Genomic DNA, 20,988 nt, shown 5'->3' on the forward strand with positions numbered 1-20,988 from the left:
GAACAGTTTAATCGCACTGAGATGCGATGTAATCCTTAGCAGGGAAGAGGGGACCGTTGAAATACCATGAAAAATATTGGAGTAAAACAGAGACTCCCGTGTGGGTCCCGGGCTGTTGGCTAGGGTGGCAGGCCGCGTGCATTTCCTCTCTCTGCGCCTCTCTCTGCTATGAGCACGAACTATTTTCATAATTAGATAAAAAATAAAGGCATGGGTTTGGTTTCGAATAAAGACCTTGAAGTGCTTGGCAGGTGTCCGCTCCCGGAGCGCCGCGGGTCCCCTGCTCCTGTCGGCGCCCGTGCCTCAGGCGGTCCCGATCCCGCGGCACAGGGGACGGCCGGGGAGGGCCCGCGCTTCTCCCGGATGGACCGGGACGCCGGCCTTCCGGGCCCAGGAGGCCTCCCATCCCAGTCTCCCGCGGCGCCACTGCGGCCCTGCCTCGTCCGAACCCCTCTCCAGGGACGCGCAGGTCAGGGACACCCGTCCACCTGCGTCTGCCATCGCTTCGGGGCCTGCCGGTGCCCGGTCCTCGTTCAGCTGCAGCGCCAGGCCCAGGCCTGCACTACGCCGGGGTGGGGGGCCGGTCTCGGAGAAGGGCGCGGCCAGCGGGCGCAGGACAGATGGGGAGACGACGCCCCAGCCTTCCCTCCCCAGGCGCAGGGGAACCCTGAAGGCAGCTGAAGGTTGGACGAAAAGCTGCCCCTCCCTGTGACTGGCTGGGGTCACCTGGAAGGAGCCAGCTGAGCTCCGACCAGGTTCCTGCAGAGGCGTTCTGGCCACCGAGCCTGTCCTGGGAGAGGAGAGCAGCGAGCAGCCTGGCCTCCCGAGGGGACAGGAGCCCTCCACCCCCGCACTGTGCCCTCTACCGCCCCTGCCTCGGTAGGTCCTGCCACCCTCCTGCGGCCCCTGCAGCCCCTCAACACGCCTACTTCTGGGCATCAGGGATGTCACTGGTGCCAGAGGTCCCAGAGACCTTTAAGTACAAACCTGTCACCCTTGAGGGGAGAAACAAACATGTCACCCTTGAGGCGTAGCACCCAGGTGGTCAGCAGACCTTTGGAAATGCGGTTGGATGAGAAGCCAGGATTTCTGCCCTCTGTCCGCATCTTACATTTCTGTGCACCCACACTGACAAGGATGGTAATAAAGAAAAAGACGAGCAACGATTGCATTTCACCTACTTCCATTTGCTGAGAACATCTCACTCCTTCCAGGGACCCCTGAGCTTCCCCTTGGGAGTTGGAGTCACCGACTTGTGGCTGGGGGCACATTTCGGGCAGGAGACCTCAGGCTGGTCCTAGTGTTACCTCCCCGACCTGGGGGTGTTCTTGAGGTCCCACCAGTCCTCCGCCTCTTCTCTTGGGTGTCCCCAGCAGCACCTGGATGCCATTTCAGGGCTGACCACCCAGCACTGGAACTTGTGTAACCACCCAGAACCCAGGAGCTGGGCATTTCCCTATGCACTCTGGTTCTGCACTGTCCAGTAAATCACTCACCAGCGCTACCAGCTCTTATAGCCCTTGAAATGTGGCCACTCCAAGTGGAAGTGTGCATTGAGTATGTGTTATACAAACTGGATTTTGAATATGGAAAAAAGTAACATTTCTCACTCACATACTTTTATATCATTACATGTTGAAATAATACTTTGATATATTAGGCTGAATATCATTAAAATAATTTTTTTGATTAATCTTTGTAATGAAAATTTAAAGCAATGCACTGGTTCACATCATACCTTTAGTGGACAGCACTGGTAAAGAATATACATCTAAAAGCTTTTCCCCACGTAAGCTTTAAAGTAAGATGCAAAATTCCTTTCTTCTACAAAAACATGAAGGATTGTCATTGGTAAGGGCTGCGCCCAGGCAGTTTTCACAGGTACACACTTGTTATCAATCTTCTGTTCCCATGTGCACTGAATACTAGGTCTGTGGCAAATGATATCAGCACTGTTTGTGATTTCTGGAGTCCAGGGAGAAAGACAAAGAGAGTGCTCTCCAACATTCCTGTCACTGTTGAAAACAGACCAAGCCACGTTGCTCCTCCTTCATTATACTCTTGAGACCTGCACAAGAACATACATCTTTTTTTGTAAAAGTGAAGCCTGGATCTTCAGGGCTGGCATCAGAGGGAGATCTCCTAGGGAGGAGATTCAACAGGACTCAAATCTAATTCCCTTCACCTTCTTCTTGCGGGTAGGGGGTGTCTTGACAATCATCCTTGCACCCACCACACCATTTATAGGAGGGCACTGGGCCCCTTCCACACAGGCACAGGAGTGGAACGAGATCCTTTCTGGACACTTCCGCACAGCCCATCTGAGACAGGAACATTACAATAAAAAGTTATGGGGTAGGGGGCAAAAGAAACGCCTGAAGTACAGGAATACCTGGGAAATGTTGCAGGTTCAGTTCCAGAACACCATAATTAAGTGAACATTGCAATAAAGTTTGAGTCATACAAATTTTTGGTTGCCCACTACATATAGAAGTTGTTTACATTATACTGTAGTCTATGAAGTGCACAACAGCATTATGTCTAAAAGCCACAATGTACATAGCTTCATTAAAAAATACTTTATTGTGGCCGGATGTAGTGGCTCACGCCTGTAATCCCAGCACTTTGGGAGGCAGAGGCGGGCGGATCACAAGGTCAGGAGTTTGAGACCAGCCTGGCCAATATGGTGAAACCCCCGTCTCTACTAAAAATACAAAAATCAGCTGGGCGTGCTGGCGGGTGCCTGTAGTCCCAGCTATTCAGGAGGCTGAGGTAGGAGAATCACTTGAACCCAGGAGGCAGAGATTGCAGTGAGCCAAGATCGTGCCGCTGCACTCCAGCCTGGGCGACAGAGCGAGACTCTGTCTAAAAACAAACAAAAAAGCTTTATTGCTAAAAATGCTAACGGTTATCTGGGCTTTCAGTGGGTCATAATCTTTTTGCTGGTGGAGGGTGTTTTCCCAGTGTTGACGGCTGCTAACTGATCAGGGTGGTAGTTGCTAAAGGTTGGACTGGCTGTGGCAATTTCTTAAAATAAGACAACAATGAAGTCTGCCGCATTGATTGACTTTATTTCAGGAAAGATTTCTCTGTAGCATGCGACGCTGTTTGACAGAATTTTACCAATAGTAGGACTTCTTTCAAAATTGGAGTTAAACCTCTCAAACCCTGCCACTACTTTACCAACTAAGTTTATGATATATTCTGAATCCTGTGTTGTAATTTCAACAATATTCACAGCATCTTTAGTAGGAGTAGATTCCATTTCAAGAAACCACCTTCTTCACTCATCCATAGGAAGAAATACCTCATCCATTAAAGTTTTACCATGAGATTGTAGCAATTCAGTCACAACTTCAGGTTCCACTTCGAATTATATTTCTCTTGCTATTTCCACCACATCCACAGTTATTTCCTCCACTGATGTCTTGAACCCCTCCATGAAGGGGTTCAAGTCATCCATAAGGTTGGAATCAACTTCTCCCAAGCTCCTGTTAATGTTGGTATTTTGACTGCCTCCCATGAATCACAAATGTTCTTAACAGCATCTAGAATAGTAAATCCTTTCCAGAAGGTTTTCAATTTACTTTGCCCAGATCCATGAGAGGAATCACTATCTATGACAGCTATAGCCTTACAAAATGTATGTCATAAACAATAAGACTTGAAAGTCAAAATGACTCCTTGATCCATGGGCTGCAGAATGAATGTGTGTTAGCAGGCATGAAAACAACAATAATCTTCTATGTCTCCATCAGAGCTCTTGGGTGATTAGGTCTTTTGTCAATAAGCAATAATATTTTAAAAGGAATCGTTTTTGCTGAGAAGCAGTGCGCTTAAAACACTAAGCTAACCATGCTGTAAAAAGATGTGTTGTCATCCAAGCTTTGTTGTTCCATTTATAGGATAAAGGCAGAGTAGATTTTGCATAATTCTTAAGGGCCCTAGGATTTTTAGAATGATAAACGAGCACTGGCTTCAACTTAGCTCACCAACTATATTAGCCCCTAACTAGAGGGTTAGTCTGTCCTTTGAAGCTTTAAAGACAAGCGCTGACTTTTCCTCTCAAGCTACAAAGTCCTAGATGGCATCTTCTTCCAGTAGAAGGCTGTTTTGTCTACATGTAAACTCTGTTGTCGAGTGTAGCCACCCTCCTCAGTGGTCTTAGCTAGATCTTCTGCATTACTTGCTGCAGCTTCTACATCAGCACTTTCTGCTGCACCCTGTACTTCCAAGCTATGGAGATGACTTCTTTTCTTAAACCACATAAACCAACCTCTGCTAGCTTCAAACTTTTTTTCTGCAGTTTCCTCACCTCTTTCAGCCTCCATAGAATTGAAGACTATATCAGCATTGTGTGTCACTGGAATAGCGCTTTTAATTTCCTTCAAGAACTTTTCCTTTGCATTCACAAGTTGGCTACCCGGTGCAAGAGGCCTAGCTTTCAGCCTGTTTCAGCTTTTGACATGCCTTCCTTACTAGACTTAATCATTTCTAGCTTTTGATTTAAAATGAGTGACATACAACTCTTCCTTTCACTTGAACACTTATAGGCCATTGTAGGGTTACTAACTAGCCTAATTTCATTATTGTTTGTTGTGTGTCAGGGAAGAGAGTGGGAAAGAGATGAGGGAATGGAGGGTAAGGCAGTCAGAATACACGTTTATTGATTAAGTACACCATCTTGTATAGGCAGAGTTATTGGCACCCTATAGTACAACACTAACATCAAATATCACTGATCACAGATCACCATAACAGTTATTTATTAATGAAAAAGTTTGAAATATTATGTGAATTACCAAATGAGACATAGAGATAAAAAGTGAGCACATGCTGTTGGAAAAAAATGGCACTGATAGACTTCCTTGATACAGGGTTGTCACAAACTTTCAATTTGTAAAAAACTCAATACCTACAAAGAGCAATAAAGCGAAGTACAATAAAGTGTGCCTGTAATATGAATGTACAAAATATAGTAGTTTTTGAGATCTTTTTTGGTTATTTTATTATTCATTTTAACTTATTATAAAATATTTTGAACATAAGAAGTAGAGAAAATAGTATACCAAATCCTCATTTATTCATCACCCACATCCAGTCCTTATTTTTAAAATTTTGTTAATAGACATATAACAATTATATGCATTTATGGGGTATATGTCATATTTTGAGACAATTATGCAAGGTGTAATGATCAAACCAGGGTATTTAGGATAGCTCTCACCTCAGTCATTTATCTTTTTCTTGTGCTAGGAACATTAAAAATTTTCTCTTCTAAATGGATAAATTTCTGGACACATACACCCTCCCAAGACTAAACCAGAAAGAGGTCAAATCCCTGAATAGACCTATAACAAGTTCTGAAACTGAGGCAGCAATTAATAGCCTACCAACCAATGAAAGTCCAGGACCAGAGAGATTCACAGCCGAATTCTACCAGAGGTACAAAGAGGAGCTGGGAACATTCCTTCTGAAACTATTCCAAACAATAGAAAAAGAGGGAATCCTCCCTAACTCATTTTATGAAGCCAGCATCATCCTGATACCAAAACCTGGCAGAGACACAACAAAAAAAGAAAATTTCAGGCCAATATCCCTGATGAACATCAATGCAAAAATTCTTAATAAAATACTGGCAAACCAAATCCAGCAGCACATCAAAAAGCTTATGTACCATGATCAAGTTGGCTTCATCCCTGGGATGCAACGCTGGTTCAACATACACAAATCAATAAACATAATACATTACATAAAGAGAACCAATGACAAAAACCACATGATTATCTCAATAGATGCAGAAAAGGTCTTCGACAAAATTCAATAGCCCTTCATGATAAAAACTCTCAATAAACTAGGTATTGATGGAACATATCTCAAAATAATAAGAGCTATTTATGACAAACCCACAGCCAATATCATACTGAATGGGCAAAAGCTGGAAGCATTTCCCTTGAAAACCAGCACAAGACAAGGATGCCCTCTCTCATCACTCCTATTCAACACAGTATTGGAAGTTCTGGCCAAGGCAATCAGGCAAGAGAAAGAAATAAAGAAATAAAGCGTATTCAATTAGGAAAAGAGGAAGTCAAATTGTCTCTGTTTGCAGACAGCATGATTGTATATTTAGAAAACCCCATTGTCTCAGCCCACAATCTCCTTAAGCTGATAAGCAACTTCAGCAAAGTCTCAGGATACAAAATCAACACGCAAAAATCACAAGCATTCCTACACACCAATACAGACAAACAGAGAGCCATATCATGAGTGAACTCCCATTCACAATTGCTACAAAGAAAATAAAATACCTAGGAATACAACTTACAAGGGAAGTGAAGGATCTCTTCAAGGAGAACTACAAACCACTGCTCAAGGAAATAAGAGAGGACACAAATGGAAAAACATTCCATGCTCATGGATAGGAAGAATAAATATTGTGAAAATCCATACTGCCCAAAGTAATTTATAGATTCAATGCAGTCCCTATCAAGCTACCATTGACTTTCTTCACAGAATTGGAAAAAAACTACTTTCAATTTCATATGGAACCAAAAAAGAGCCCACATAGCCAAGACAATTCTAAGCAAAAAGAACAAAGGTAGAGGCATCATGCTACCTGACTTCAAACTATACTACAAGGCTACAGTAACAAAAACAGCATGGTACTGGTACCAAAACAGATATATAGACAAATGGAACAGAACAGAGACCTCAGAAATAACACCACACATCTACAACCATCTGATCTTTCACAAATCTGACAAAAATAAGCAATGGGGAAAGGATTCCCTATTTAATAAATGGTGTTGAGAAAACTGGCTAGCCATATGCAGAAAGCTGAAACTGGGTCCTTTCCTTACACCTTATACAAAAATTAACTCAAGATGGATTAAATACTTAAACGTAAGACCTAAAACCATAAAAACCCTAGAAGAAAACCTAGGCAATACCATTCAGGACATAGGCATGGGCAAAGACTTCATGACTCAAACTCCAAAAGCAATGGCAACAAAAGCCAAAATAGACAAATGGGATCTAATTAAACTAAAGAGCTTCTGCACAGCAAAAGAAACTATCATCAGAGTGAACAGGCAACCTACAGAACGGGAGAAAATTTTTACAATCTATCCATCTGACAAAGGGCTAATATCCAGAATCTACAAAGAACTTAAACAAATTTATAAGAAAAAAACAACCCCATCAAAAAGTGGGCAAAGGATATGAACAGACACTTCTCAAAAGAAGACATTTATGCAGCCAACAAACATGAAAAAAAGCTCATCATCACTGGTCATTAGAGAAATGCAAATCAAAACCACATTGAGAAACCAACTCGTGCCAGTTAGAATGGTGATCATTAAAAAGTCAGGAAACAACAGATGCTTGAGAGGATGTGGAGAAATAGGAATGCTTTTACACTGTTGGTGGAAGTGTAAATTAGTTCAGCCATTGTGGAAGACAGTGTGGTGATTCCGCAAGGATCTAGAACTAGAAATACCATTTGACCCAGCAATCCCATTACTGGGTATATATCCAAAGGATTATAAATCATTCTACTATAAAGACTCATGCACACCTATGTTTATTGCAGCACTGTTCACAATGGCAAAGACTTGGAATCAACCCAAATGCCCATCAATGGTAGACTGGATAAAGAAAATGTGGCACATATACACCATGTAATACTATGCAGCCATAAAAAAAGGATGAGTTCATGTCCTTTGCAGGCACTTGGATGAAGCTGGAAACCATCATTCTCAGCAAACTAACACAAGAACAGAAAACCGAACACCGCATGTTCTCACTCATAAGTGGGAGTTGAACAATGAAAACACATGGACACAGGGAGGGGAACATCACACACCAGGGCCTGTCGGGGGATGGGGGTCTAGGGGAGGGATGGCATTAGGAGAAACACCTAATGTAGATGATGGGTTGATGGGTGCAGCAAACCACCATGGCACCTGTATACCTATGTGACAAACCTGCACGTTCTGCACATGTACCCCAGAACTTAAAGTATAATAATATTCTCTTCTAGCTATTATAAAATATATTATTAACTATAGTCACCCTACTGTGCTGTTGAACAATATAAATTATTCCTTCTTTCGAGCTGTAACTTTGTACCCATCAACCAACCTCTCTTCGTGACACCGTGTCGCCCCAACCCCTGCAACTTCCCAGCCTCTGGTAATTATCAATCTTCCTTCTACTCGCATGAGATCACCTTTTTTAGCTCCCATATATTGCTGACAACATGTGATATTTGTTTTCCTGGCTTATTTCACTTAACATAATGACCTCGAGTTCCAATCCATGTTGCTGCAAATGATGGAATTTCATTTTTTAATGTTGCTGCAAATGACGGAATTTCATTTTTTTAATAGCGAAACAGTATTCCATTGTGTAAGTATGTCTCATTTTCTTTCTTCATTCATTCATTGATAGACACTTAGATGATTCCGTATGTTGGCTATTGTGAATAGTGCTTCAGTAAACATGGAGGTCAAGTGTCCCTGTGATACACCGATTTCCTGTCTTTTGGGTAAATACCCAGTAGTGGGGATTTAGTAGTCTGATTTAGTGGTCAGTTTTTTTGAGAAACCTCTATACTGTTTTCCATAATGACTGTAGTGATTTATATATCCACCAACAGTGTGTAAGAGTTCCCTTTTCTCCATATTGTTGCCAGCATTTTTTTTTTGGTCTTTTTAATAATAGTCATTCTAAGTGGGGTAAGGTGATATCTCATTGTGGTTTTGATATGCATTTCCCTGATGGCTAGTGATGTTAAACATTTTTTCATATACTTGGCCATTTGTATGTCTTCTTTTGAGAAATGTCTCTTCATGTCCTTTGCCTACTTTTTAAAAGGGATTTTTTTTTTGCTGTTGAATTCCTTGTATATTCTCAATATTAGTCCCTTGTTGGATAAATAGTTTGCACATATTTTCCTGTTCTACAGATTGTCTCTTCACTCTGTTGACTGTTTCCTTTGTTTTGCAGAATCTTTTTAGCTTAATATAGTCCCATTTGTCTATTTTTGTTTTTGAGATCTTAGCCACAAAATTTTTGCCTTGACCTATGTCCTGAAACATTTCCCCTGTGGTTTCTTCCAGTAGTTTCATAATTTCAGGTCTTATATTTATGTCTTTAATCATTTTAATTTTTGTGTATGGTGAGACATTAGGGGTCTAGTTTCATTATTTTGCAGATGAATATTCAGTTTTCTCAGTACCCTTTATCGAAGAGGGTATCCCTTCCCTGATACACATTCTTGGCACCTTTGGTGAAAATCAGTTGGTGGTAAATATATGTATTTATTTCTGGGTTTTCTATTCTGTTCCATTGGTCTGTGTGTCTGTTTATATCAATACTATGCTCTTTGGGTTACCATAGCCCTGTAATGTTTTGAAGTTAAGTAGTGTGATGCTTCCAGCTTTTTCTTTTTTGCTCAGGGTTGCTTTGGCTATTCTGATTCTTTTTTGATTTCATATGAACTTTGGTATTTTTGTTTTCAATTTCTGTGACAAATGACAATAGTATTTTGATAGAGATTGCTTTGAATCAAGTTTACTTTGGGTAAACATTTTAATGATATTAATTCTTCTGATTCATGCACATGGAATGTCTTTCCATTTGTTTATTTCTTTCATTAGTGTTTTGTAGTTTCCCTTGTAGAGACCTTTCACCTTTTTGGTTAGATCCGAGGTATTTTATCTTTTAATTATTGTAAATGGGATTGTCTTCCTGATTTCTTTTTCAGCTTTTTCATCATTGATGCATCAAAATACTACTAATATTATATTCTGATATTTTACTGAATTTATCAGTTGTAAGGGTTTTTCTTGGTAAAGTCTTTAGGTTGTCTATATATAAGATCATGCTATCTACAGAAAGAGACAATTTGACTTACTCTTTTCCAATTTAGATGCTTTTTATTTATTTCTCTTGCCTGATTGCTCTGGCTAGAACTTCTAGTGCTATGTTGAATAAGAGTGGTGAATGTGGGCATCCTGCTCTGGTTCCAGTTTTTAGAAGAAGGTCTTTCAGCTTTTCCCCATTTAGTATGATGTCAGCTGTGAATCTGTCATATATGGCCTTTATTATGTTGAGGTATGTTCCTTGTATGTCTAATTTGTTGAGAGTTTTTTTTTATCATGAAGGGATACTGAATTTATCAAACAATTTTCTGCATCTATTGAGATAATCATAAAGTTTTTTCCTTCATTCCACTGATGTCATCACATTTATTGATTTGCATGTGTTAAACCATCCTTGCATCTTTGGGTAAATCACACTTGACCATAGTATATTATCTTTTTGGTGTACTGTTGAATTCAGCTTGCTAGCATTTTGTTGATGATTTTTATGCCTGTGTTCATCAGGGATATTGGCCTGTAGCTTTCTTTTTCGTTGTGTCCTTCTCTGGTTTTGGTGTCAGGGTTGTGCTGGCCTTGTAGAATGAGTTAGGAAAAATTCCCTCCTCTTCAATTGTTTTTAAACAGTTTGTGAAGAATTGGTGTTAGTTTTTCTCTATAGGTTTGGTAGGGTTCAGCAATAAAGTCATCCACTACTGGGCTTCTCTTTGTTGGGAGACTTATTACTGATTCAATCTCATTACCAGTTATTGGTCTGTTCAGGTTTTCTATTTCTTCCAGGTTCAATCTTGGAAGGTTGTATGTGTCCAGGAATTTACCCATTTCCTCTAGGTTTTCCATTTTGTTGGCTATAGTTGTTCATAGTAATCTCTGATGATCCTTTGTGTTTCTGTGGTATCAGTTATAATATCTTCTTTCTCATTTCTGATTTTATTTGACTCTTCTTCCTTTTTTCATGGTTAGTCTAGCTAGGAGGTTTATCAATTTTGTGTATCTTTTTTTTAAAACACGCACTTTTTGTCTCTTGATCCTTTGTATTGTTTTTTAGTCTCTATTTTGTTTTTGTTCTGATATTTACTATACTTTTCCTTCTACTAATTTTGGGTTTGGTTTGTCATTGGTTTTCTAGTTCCTTGAGGTGTATCACTAGGCTGTTTATTTAAAATATTTCTGCTTTTGTGATATAGGCATTTAGTGCTATATACTTCCCTTTTAGCACTGCTTTTCTGTATCCCATAGGTGTGGGTATGTTGCATTTCTATTTTCATATTAAATATTTAAAAACATATTTTTAAAAATTTCCTCTCAATTTCTTCATCGACCCAGTGGTCATTCAGGAGCATATTGTTTAATTTCCATGTATTTGTACAGTTTCCAAAGCTCCTGTTATTTCTACTTTTATTCCATTGTAGTTTAAAAAGATGCTTGATTTGATCTTAATTTTAAAATGTGTTGAGATTTATTTTGTGGCCTAACATATGGCCTATCCTGGAGAATGTTCCATGTGCTGATGAGAAGAATGTGTATTCTGCAGCTTTTGGATAAAATAAAATGTTTTGTAAATGTTAAGTCAAATTTGATCTAAAGTCCAGCTTATTTATTTTCTGTTCTTACTAAAATCCAGTTAAAATCCAATGTTTCTATGTTGATTCTTCCGTCTAGGTGATCTGTTAAAAATGCTGAGAGCAGATTGTTGAAGTCCCCAACTATTATTGTATTGAAGTCTATCTCTCCCTATAGATGTAATATTTGCCTTATACAGCTGGGTGCTCGAGTGTGGGGTACATGTATATCAAGCATTGTTATAGGTTGGTGCAAAAGTAATTGCAGTTCTTGCTTTTAATGTCAAAAACTACAATTACTTTTGTACCAATCTAATATATCCCCTTGCTGAATTGATCCATTTGTCATATATAATGACCTTTTTATCTTTTTATAGTTTTTGACTTAAAGTCTGTTTTATCAGATATAACTATAGCTATTCCTGCTCACTTTTGGTTTCCATTTGTGTGAAATGTGTGGAATATCTTTTTCCATCCTTCACTTTCAGTCTGTATGTGTCTTTACAAGTGAAGTGAGTTTCTTGATGGCACCATATAGTTGGGTTATTTTTAAAAATGCATTCAGTGGCACCAACCCAAATGCCCATCAATCAACGAGTGGATAAAGAAACTGTGTTTTATATATACATATATTATATATGTGTGTTTTATATATATTATATATATGATGGAATACTACTCAGCCATAAAAAGGAATGAACTAATGGCATTTGCAGTGATCTGGATGAGATTGGAGACTTACTATTCTAAGTGAAGTAACTCAGGAATGGAAAACCAAACACCATATGTTCTCACTCGTAAGTGGGAGCTAAGCTATGAGGATGAAAGGCATAAGAATGACACAATGGACTTTGGGGACTCACGGGGAAAGGGTGGGAAGGGGGTGAGGGATAAAAGACTACAAATAGGGTGCAGTGTATTCTGCTTGGGTGATGGGTGCATCAAAATCTCACAAATCACCAATAAAGAACTTAATAATGTAACCAAACATCACCTGTTCACCAATAACCTACAGAAATTTAAAAAAAAATGGATTCAGCTAGTCCATTGTTTTTTTTCTTGAGACGGAGTCTCACTCCGTAGCCCAGGCTGGAGTGCAGTGGCACAATCTCAGCTCACTGCCACCTCTGCCTCCTGGGTCCTGGTTCAAGCAATTCTCCTGCCTTAGCCTCCCGAGTAGCTGGGATTACAGGCATGTGCCACCATGCCCAGCTCATTTTTGTATTTTTAGTAGAGACACGGTTTCACCATGTTGGCCAGGCTGGTCTTGAACTCCTGACCTCGTGATCCACCCACCTCAGCCTCCCAAAGTGCTGGGATTACAGACGTGAGCCACTGCGCCCGGCCCAGCTAGTCTATATCTTTCAAGTGGGAAATGTAATCAGTTCCCATTCAAGGTTATTACTGATAGGTGAGGACTTATTCTTGCCATTTTGTTAATTGTTTTCTACTTGTTTTGTGCATCCTTTGTTCATTTCTTCCTCTCTTATTGGTTATCATTGTGGTTTGGTGGTTTTCTGTAGTGGTAACATTTGATTCCTTTCTTTTTCTCATTTGTATCTGCTCCACCAGTGAGTTTCATGTTTTCATGATGCAAATATCAGCCTTTTGCTTTCAGATGTAGAACATGTTAAGCATTTCTCGTAGGGCTGGTATAGTGGTGATGAATGCCCTCAGTTTTTGCTTGGCTGGGAAAGACTTTATTACTCTTTAATTTTTGAAGGACAACTTTGCCGAGTATAGTGTTCTTGCGTGACAGTTTTCTTTTTCCTTTAGCACTTTTAATGTATTATCACATTCTCTCCTGGCCTGTAAGGTTTCTGCTGAGGAATCTATTAGTCTGATGGGAGTTCCCTTATATGTGATTTGACACTTTTCTCTTATTGATTTTAGAATTCTTTTTTTGTCTGGCTTTCAACAGTTATAAGCTGAAATGTTCCTCAAGTGATAATATACCTTGGGGAAGACTTTTTCGGGTTCAATCTATTTGGGTATCTTTAAGCTTCCTGTATCTGGATGTCTAGATCTCTTCCAAGATGTAGGAAGTTTTCAGCTATTATTTCATTAAATAGGTTCTCTATGCCTTTGCCCATCTCTTTTTCTTCTATAACACCCAATATTCAAATTTCATTTGTGTTGTCTCATAGGCTCTCTCTTTTGTTCTTTGTTCTTCTTTTCTTCTTCTTTTTTTGGGGGGTTGGACTGGGTTATTTCAAAAGACCTGTCTTCAAATTCAGAAATTCTTTCTTCTGCTTGGTCTAGTCTATTGTTGAAACTCTTGATTATATTTTTTTTTTTTTTTTTTGAGACGGAGTCTCGCTCTGTTGCCCAGGCTGGAGTGCAGTGGCGGGATCTCGGCTCACTGCAAGCTCCGCCTCCCGGGTTCACGCCATTCTCCTGCCTCAGCCTCCCAAGTAGCTGGGACTACAGGCGCCCGCCACTACGCCCAGCTAATTTTTTTGTATTTTTAGTAGAGACGGGGTTTCACCGTTTTAGCCGGGATGGTCTCGATCTCCTGACCTCGTGATCCGCCCGCCTCGGCCTCCCAATATATTTTTAACTTCATTCATTGAACCCTTCAGTCCCAGTATTTCTGTTTGGTTCTTTCTTTATGATATCTATCTCTGTTGAATTTCTTACTCAGATCATAAGTTGTTTTTCTGATTTCTCTGTATTATTATTTATTTCTAGTTTTATTCCATTGTAGTCTGAAAAGGTACTTGATATTATCTTAATTTTAAAATTTGTTGAGATTTATTTTGTGGCCAAACATATGGCCTATCCTGGAGAATGTTTCATGTGCTGACAAGAAAATGTATTCTGCAGTTTTTGTTCTATGTTCTCTTGTATCGCACTGAACTTGTTTAATAACATTATTTAAAATTCTTTTTTGGGCATTTCATGTATTGCTTTTTCATTCAAACCTGTTCCTAGAGAATTACTGTGTTCCTTCAGAGGCATTCTGTTTCCTTGCTTTTTCATGTTTCTTATATCCTTACACTCATATTTGTGCATCTGGTGTAACTGTCTCTTCTTTCAATTTTATGGATTGGCTTTCATAGGAAAAGACTTTTCCTGATAGATGTATCTATTGTATTGGTTGGGTAGGATGCTTTGGCTTTTATTTTGGGTGGGGGCAGTAGTTTAGTTTCCATATTTCTTCAGCTATAATCAGTGTCAGTGGTATCTGTGAGTTCCTCAGTGGATTGGCTGTGGTTGTTTGGGGAGGCTGTGGCGAGGCTTTGCTGGGGATGGGGATGCCAGGTGGGGCAGTCTTTGGGCCCCAGTGGTGGTAGTTGTGGGTCAAGCCTGCTGATCTTCCTCTCCCACCCCCGCTCCCCAGCAGTGTGCATGACCTGCTCAGTGGGTGGGGTGGATTGATCCCCAGGACCCTGGATATTGCATGTGGTCACTGATAGGGGATGTGTCAGCCAGGGCGGGCCTGCCCTCAGGCCCCACAATAGTGCACATAGATGCAGGCTACAGCAGGCAGGGCTGGTCAATCCCCAGATGCCTGGACAACATGTGCAAACTCCGGCAGACTGGGCAGGTCTCTTCTCAGACCAGCAGAGGCATGTGCAGATGCTAATGGCAGCAGGTGGAGTGGATTGATCACCAGGCCCCAATGTACATGGCAACTGGCAGGGATGACACTGGGCAGTATAGACCTATCCTCAGCTCTCTCAAGGGTACACACAGGCACAGGCTGTGGTGGGTTGAACAGGTTGATCCCCAGGCCCTCAGATGGTATGTCTGGGTACCAGCAGCAGTGGCAGAGTAGGGGGCAGGCCTGTCATCAGAACCCACGATGGTGTGTGCAGGCACTAGAAGTGGAAGGTGGGATAGGCTGATCCCATGGTCACCTTAACAACATGCATTAGTGTGGGCAGAGGTGGTGGGCAGGTGGCCTACCTGATGGTGCATGCACTTGCCAGCTGTGGTGGGCAGGGCAGGTTGATCCTCAGGTCCCCTTTATGGCATGCTTGGGTGCCGGTGGTGGTGATAGGTGCAGCAGACCTGTTTTCAGTTTCCAGGATGGTGCCTGGCAAACCAGTTTCCAGGTCCCTTGAAGGTATCTGCAGGTGCACAGTGGCCCTGCTGCTGGAAGTTGGGGGATGGGGTTGCTGTCAATGGCGTGGCCCAACCCAGGCAGCTCTCAGGCTTTGGGGAGCATGAATTCCAGTTCCCTTTGTTCTGGTGACTGCCTCCCCAGTGCACAGTACCACTGATTCCCTGCAGCATAGAATACTGTATGAGTCAGAGTCCTGGGAATCTGGCTATACTGCTGGGTCCAGCCAGTGTTGTGATGCTGCAGCCTTCTGGATAGATGTCAGTCAGGGGATGTCAGAGGGATGTGGAGATACAGAGGCTGTTGAGTCCCGGGGAAGGATGTAGTCTGGTGGAGGCTGGCCTCTCAAAATAATGCCATGCTGCAGGTGTCTTGATCTTGGGGTGTGTGGGGGACCCAGAGTGAAGTTCTTCTCTGGACTAATGGCATTGGAGGACTTGAGGATGCTCCTTAGACTAGTCTCAGGGCCCACAAGGGCTGAGGGGCTCTCCTGTGGCTAGGACTGTAAGAGTCAGTGTGGCAATGTAGACTGCTGAAGATCTCTTGCTTACCTTCTCTCTGCACTGGGGGGTTTCTCCTGGCTCCGAGCTGATTGCAGCTGGACCAGCTGCTTTGCTTCCCTCTCCTTCCAAGCCTCAGATGTTCCCTGTCACTTCTCTGATGAATTCCATTGTTCTCTTAGAAGCTCCACTTGTTATGTGATTGTTCAGTTTTGGTCCTTCTTTGTGCAGAAGTGCCAGGTGTCGCTAGTCAGCTATCTTGAAACCCTTCTCTCTGGATGTACAAAATACTGTTTACACTTCGAGGTTTGTTCTGGGATGCTCGCAGATCTCATCCCATATAAGTAGTGAGGGAAAAAAGAGGTGGTTGCCTAAGGTTTCTCCTTCTATCTCTGATTGGCTCAACATCCACTGGGCAACACACATCAACCTTTCAAGACAAGAACGGTAGGTGATGTGTGGAGTGGTGATGGTGTATGTGAAAACCCTTGGCTTCCTTTACATGATCGTAGTCTGAAAGATGGAGACTACATGGAGAATGTCTCAAGAAAATTCCTCCTTTCACACTCCTCTGACGATACCACAGACCGACTCCTCACAGATGAGCAAAAGCTTGGGTGGGAGCTTATTTCTTCTCCCACTGTGCTTCAACTTCTCAAGGAATTGTAGAATGAGAGAGAGCAGAGGATTTTTAATATTTGCTGATTATCCACTATGTGCAAGCTTCGTATAAACAATAGGTAGTATAATCTCCATTTTATAGTTGAGGAAACTGAGACTGGAGATTAAATCATTTGCTGGAAGACACAAAGCCAGTAATTAGTAGACTCAGGACTTGAGCAAGACTGTCCATCTTCAGAGCCCACAGTCTTTCCATGACACCAGCAATGCACAGTTAGGTCCACAGGGACTCTCTCACATCTACTCTGTGCTCTCATTCTTGGCATCCAAAGAATGTTAGGCACTGAGAACCGCTATGGACTGAATGTCTGTGTCCCCCCAAATGTCATATGTTGAAACTGAATCCCCACTCCGATGGTGTTTGAAGGTGGGCCCTTTGGGAAATGAAGTCATGAGGGGGAGGGAGCCCTCATGAAAGGGATTAGTGGCCCCAGAGAGAGAACCCCTCACCCTTTCTGCCAAGTGACTGTGCAGCAAGAAGACAGCCATCTATGAACCACGAAGCAGACACTCACCAGACACCGAACCTACTGCATTCCTGACCTTAGACTTCCGAACAGCCTCCAGAACTCTAAGAAATAAATTTCCTTTGTTTATAAACCACCCAGCCTATGGTATTTTGTTATAGCAGCCTGAACACATTGTGACAAGAATTCAAGCTACTAAGGATCACTTTAGCTGAGAAATGCTTGGGCAATTGGGTAGAAAGGCTGGCATAGTGCAAGTCAGAAAACTTCAGAGTCAAAATGGAGGGAGGGACTCCTCTCCCCTCCTACAGAGTGACAGAAAGGAGGGAAGAGTTCTGCTTTATGACAAAGCATTTTAAATAGCACGCAGATCCTCTAGAAAAGGATGCAGAGCCACAATGTGGGCAGAGGCTCGGGGACTGAGGGGGGAAACCAGAAGCTGAGTTTCTTTCCTCTAGTGCCAGAGAAATTTTCCAAGGTGGGATTGGGATTGTGGTGAATGACCTTGGATTGAGATCCAGGGGCTGTGGGAAAGCCATAGGAGCCCCAGACTATGAACATCTTATTTTTTTAATTTAATTTTTTAAAAAAGAGATGGGATGTCACTATGTTGCCCAGGCTGGTCTCAAACTCTTGGGTTCAAGTGATCCTCCTGCCTCAGCCTCCCAAAGTGCTGAGATTACAAGTGTGAGCCACTGTGCCTGGCCCAACTATGAACATTTTAATTGATAAATTAGAAAATGTTCAAAACACTTAAAATTGGGTAGTGATGCCAACAGCCCACCTCACCCATGCCAGGAGCCTTACCATGTTAAGCAGTGGTCCCAGCCTTTTTGGCACCAGGGACTGGTTTTGTAGAAGACAATTTTTCCACGGACCAGGGGGTGGTGGGGATGATTTCAGAATGAAACTTCCACCTCAGATCATTAGGCATTAGATTCTCATAAGGAGCATACAACCTAGACCTCTCTCCTGCACAGTTCACAATAGGGCTCACATTCCTATGGGAATCTAATGCCACTGCTGATCAGACAGGAGACAGAGCTCAGGTGGTAACGCTTGCTTGCCACTCACCACCTGCTGTATGACCCAGCTCCTAACAGGCCACAGAGCAGTACTGGTCTGCAGCCTGAGGGTTGAGAACCCCTGACGTAAAGCACCCCCTTTGTGAGAAAACAAGCTCTGGGCCTTTAATTCCTGCAGCCAGCTGCTCTGTGCACATGGGGTGAGGGGCAGGAGGGAGTCAGGCAGGAGACCTCTGGTCCCTGGCACAGCTATTCTCGCAACAGCCATTGGTCAATCTCCCCGGTCCCTACCACAGCCCCTCTGCTCTCTGTACCTGCCGGCCTCAATGCGGAGCCTCTCTGAGAAACAGCTCCTCCCTCGCCAGCCACCTTCTGTGTACAGTTCAACTTCTATCTCCTCAGATCTCCTTCCCCATCAGTCAACCCACCTCCCTTCTCCTATTTCAAAAATTACTCAACATTTCTGTTCTTGCACTTTTTTGGGCTGTTACAGATTTTTTGAAGTTCAATGACATTTGGGAAGGACAGATAAAAGTGAGCATTCAATTTGCATCTCAAGTCATGACATTTGCCTTGTAAATGACGTCTGCTTCCATTTTACTGGAGGAAGCTGGCCAGGTGGGGTCTCCTTTCCCATAGGTGGCTGTGATGTCAGGTGAGCTGCTCAGCCTCTTCTGGCTTACTTTCCGTTCACATGACGAGGGTCGTGAATGAGATTAGTATCCATCAAACCTGTTCCTGTAATACACCCCTTCTATCAGGTAAAACTGATGGCAGGATTCCAGTATATAAAACAAGCTAAACTGGTATTTTCTTTTTCAGAATACGTACTGAAGTGCTGAAGAGTAACTAAAACATTTTTTAACAGGAGAAAAGGCCCTGGCTGGGGGCAGTGGCTCACGCCTGTAATCCCAGAACTTTGGGAGGCCGAGGCGGGCGGATCACGAGGTCAAGAGATCAAGACCATCCTGGCTAACGTAGTGAAACTCATCTCTACTAAAAATACAAAAATTAGCTGAGTGTGGTGGCATGTGCCTGTAGTCCCAGCTAGTCAGGAGGCTGAGGCAGGAGAATCCCTTGAACCCGGGAGGAGGAGGTGGAAGTGAGCTGAGATTGCACCACTGCACTCCAGCCTGGCGACAGAGCAAGACTTCGTCTCAGAAAAAAAAAAAAAAAAAGAAAAAAAAAGAAAGAAAGAAAGAAAAGAGAGGCCCTGAGGAGGAGAGGAGAACATGATGGGGCCTTTGGAGCCCACAGCTCCCTCTTCCCCTCTAAGTGGCCCATGGTGGCAGTGCTGGCTGCCCCAAGAGGAGGTAGGCAAATTGCAGAGGCACCAAGGAGCTTCCAAGGAAAGGCTGAGGCCTGGCCCTTCCCAGCGGAGGTGCAACGGTCTGGAAACTCATGAGATGGATCAACAGTCATGGTTACTGGTGGCAGACACACCTCGGAGGGACCTGAAGGTTTGTCTGGATGAGCGACTGGATTGCAACTATGGGATGGGCTAGAGGATGGGCCCAGCAGGTGGCCCAGGATGGAACCCCTCTGGAAGTGCCTGGGCGGGGCCGCGTCAGCTGCAGCTGCAGGTAAGCATGCATGGGACCCCACAGGAGTGGCTGTCAATGACACCAATGTGGAGATAGGTCTTTGGCCTAAGGGAGGAGTGAAGCCCCAGGGTACCACGGGACAGGAGGGAAGATAATGTTTTCCTGCAAAATGGGCAGGTCAGATCTCAGTGTTCGAAGGATTTGACTAGAACTGTGCTTAGGATCAATGAAAAGGGAGAGGCAGGTCACAGTATTTGAGGATAAACTAATTTTTACCTTATTCTGGGATCAAAGTGACTATCAAAGCTTTAAAATACAGCATATAAAGTGTCAGAAAAGGTACACTAGTTTTTTCTTTTAAAGTACACTAGTTTTTATAGTATAAATAGTTGTAGAATCTAGGTAGTGGGTTTATGAGTGTTCACGGTAATTTTTTTTCAGCTTTTCTGTATGCTTTAAATTTTTCAGGACAAAATGCCTAGAAGTGGTCAAATAACATTTTATTTTGTAGTCGAGCATTTGAGGAACCCTTGGACGATTGTCGGGAAGCCTTCGGGTTAATGAAGCATGAAAACTATTGGGCCTCTCCTGAGCCCTTTGAGCTCAAAAATCTCTAACTTCCTAGGAGGCTCCTCAGGCTCAGCCCAGGCCTGAAGCTGATGTATTTGAGAAGCTGGTGTTTTAGATGACTGTCATCTAAAACCTCAAAGCCTCAAAAGCTGTTTACATCAGTGGGGTTGCACCTGTACTCTGAGTTAGTTTTATCACAAAAATGGGTCATTTGCAGCTGCCTTTTAAAGGTGAAAACAGATGCAAAATATATTAAAAAAATCAAACAGACTTTCAAAAACCACACACAGTGCCAAGTAGTCAGTGGATTTGTCGGCGCCCTGCCTGAGAACAGCACTTTGATAAAAGGCCCAGCTGCAAGGGTGCAGAATAACAGAGTTGGGAGCACTGCTGCCCTTTCTTTGTTCTGCCTTTCAGGGCAGCTGTCCTCAAATATGGGGTGGGCAGAAGTGGTGTGCTTACTGCCAGCACTGCCTGCTACAAGGAAAAGAACTGTATGGCCTACTAATTTGGGGGAGTGCTGGATTAAACAGCATTAAGATGCTTCTCAGACTGTTCAATATACTTGTGTGCACTGCCCGTCTCCCAGGGATGGACACAGTTGTGATCCCCAAATGCTCTACAGACTTTTAGGGGAGGGACCATGCTCTAGGACCCATGCTTTAAGAAGGCAAAAATAAACCAAG

At 42.7% G+C, this 20,988-nt stretch overlaps 1 protein-coding gene across 4 annotated transcripts in view, besides 1 other annotated feature; it reads right to left on the minus strand.

Annotated features, from left to right (window-relative positions):
• VOPP1 (VOPP1 WW domain binding protein) overlaps positions 1–20,988 on the minus strand; it is a 137,539-nt gene that overhangs the window by 13,959 nt on the left and 102,592 nt on the right. The gene's annotated exons all lie outside the window — the stretch shown is intronic.
• Positions 19,120–19,621: an enhancer, noted in NCBI's record as "H3K4me1 hESC enhancer chr7:55535735-55536236 (GRCh37/hg19 assembly coordinates)". NCBI's record gives its function as "activates a minimal SCP1, AML or CMV promoter by ChIP-STARR-seq in naive H9 embryonic stem cells {active_cell/tissue: H9 hESC(naive)}" and the evidence as "EXISTENCE:reporter gene assay evidence [ECO:0000049][PMID:30033119]".

Source organism: Homo sapiens, chromosome 7, assembly GCF_000001405.40.
Source record: "Homo sapiens chromosome 7, GRCh38.p14 Primary Assembly".
NCBI lineage: Eukaryota > Metazoa > Chordata > Mammalia > Primates > Hominidae > Homo > Homo sapiens.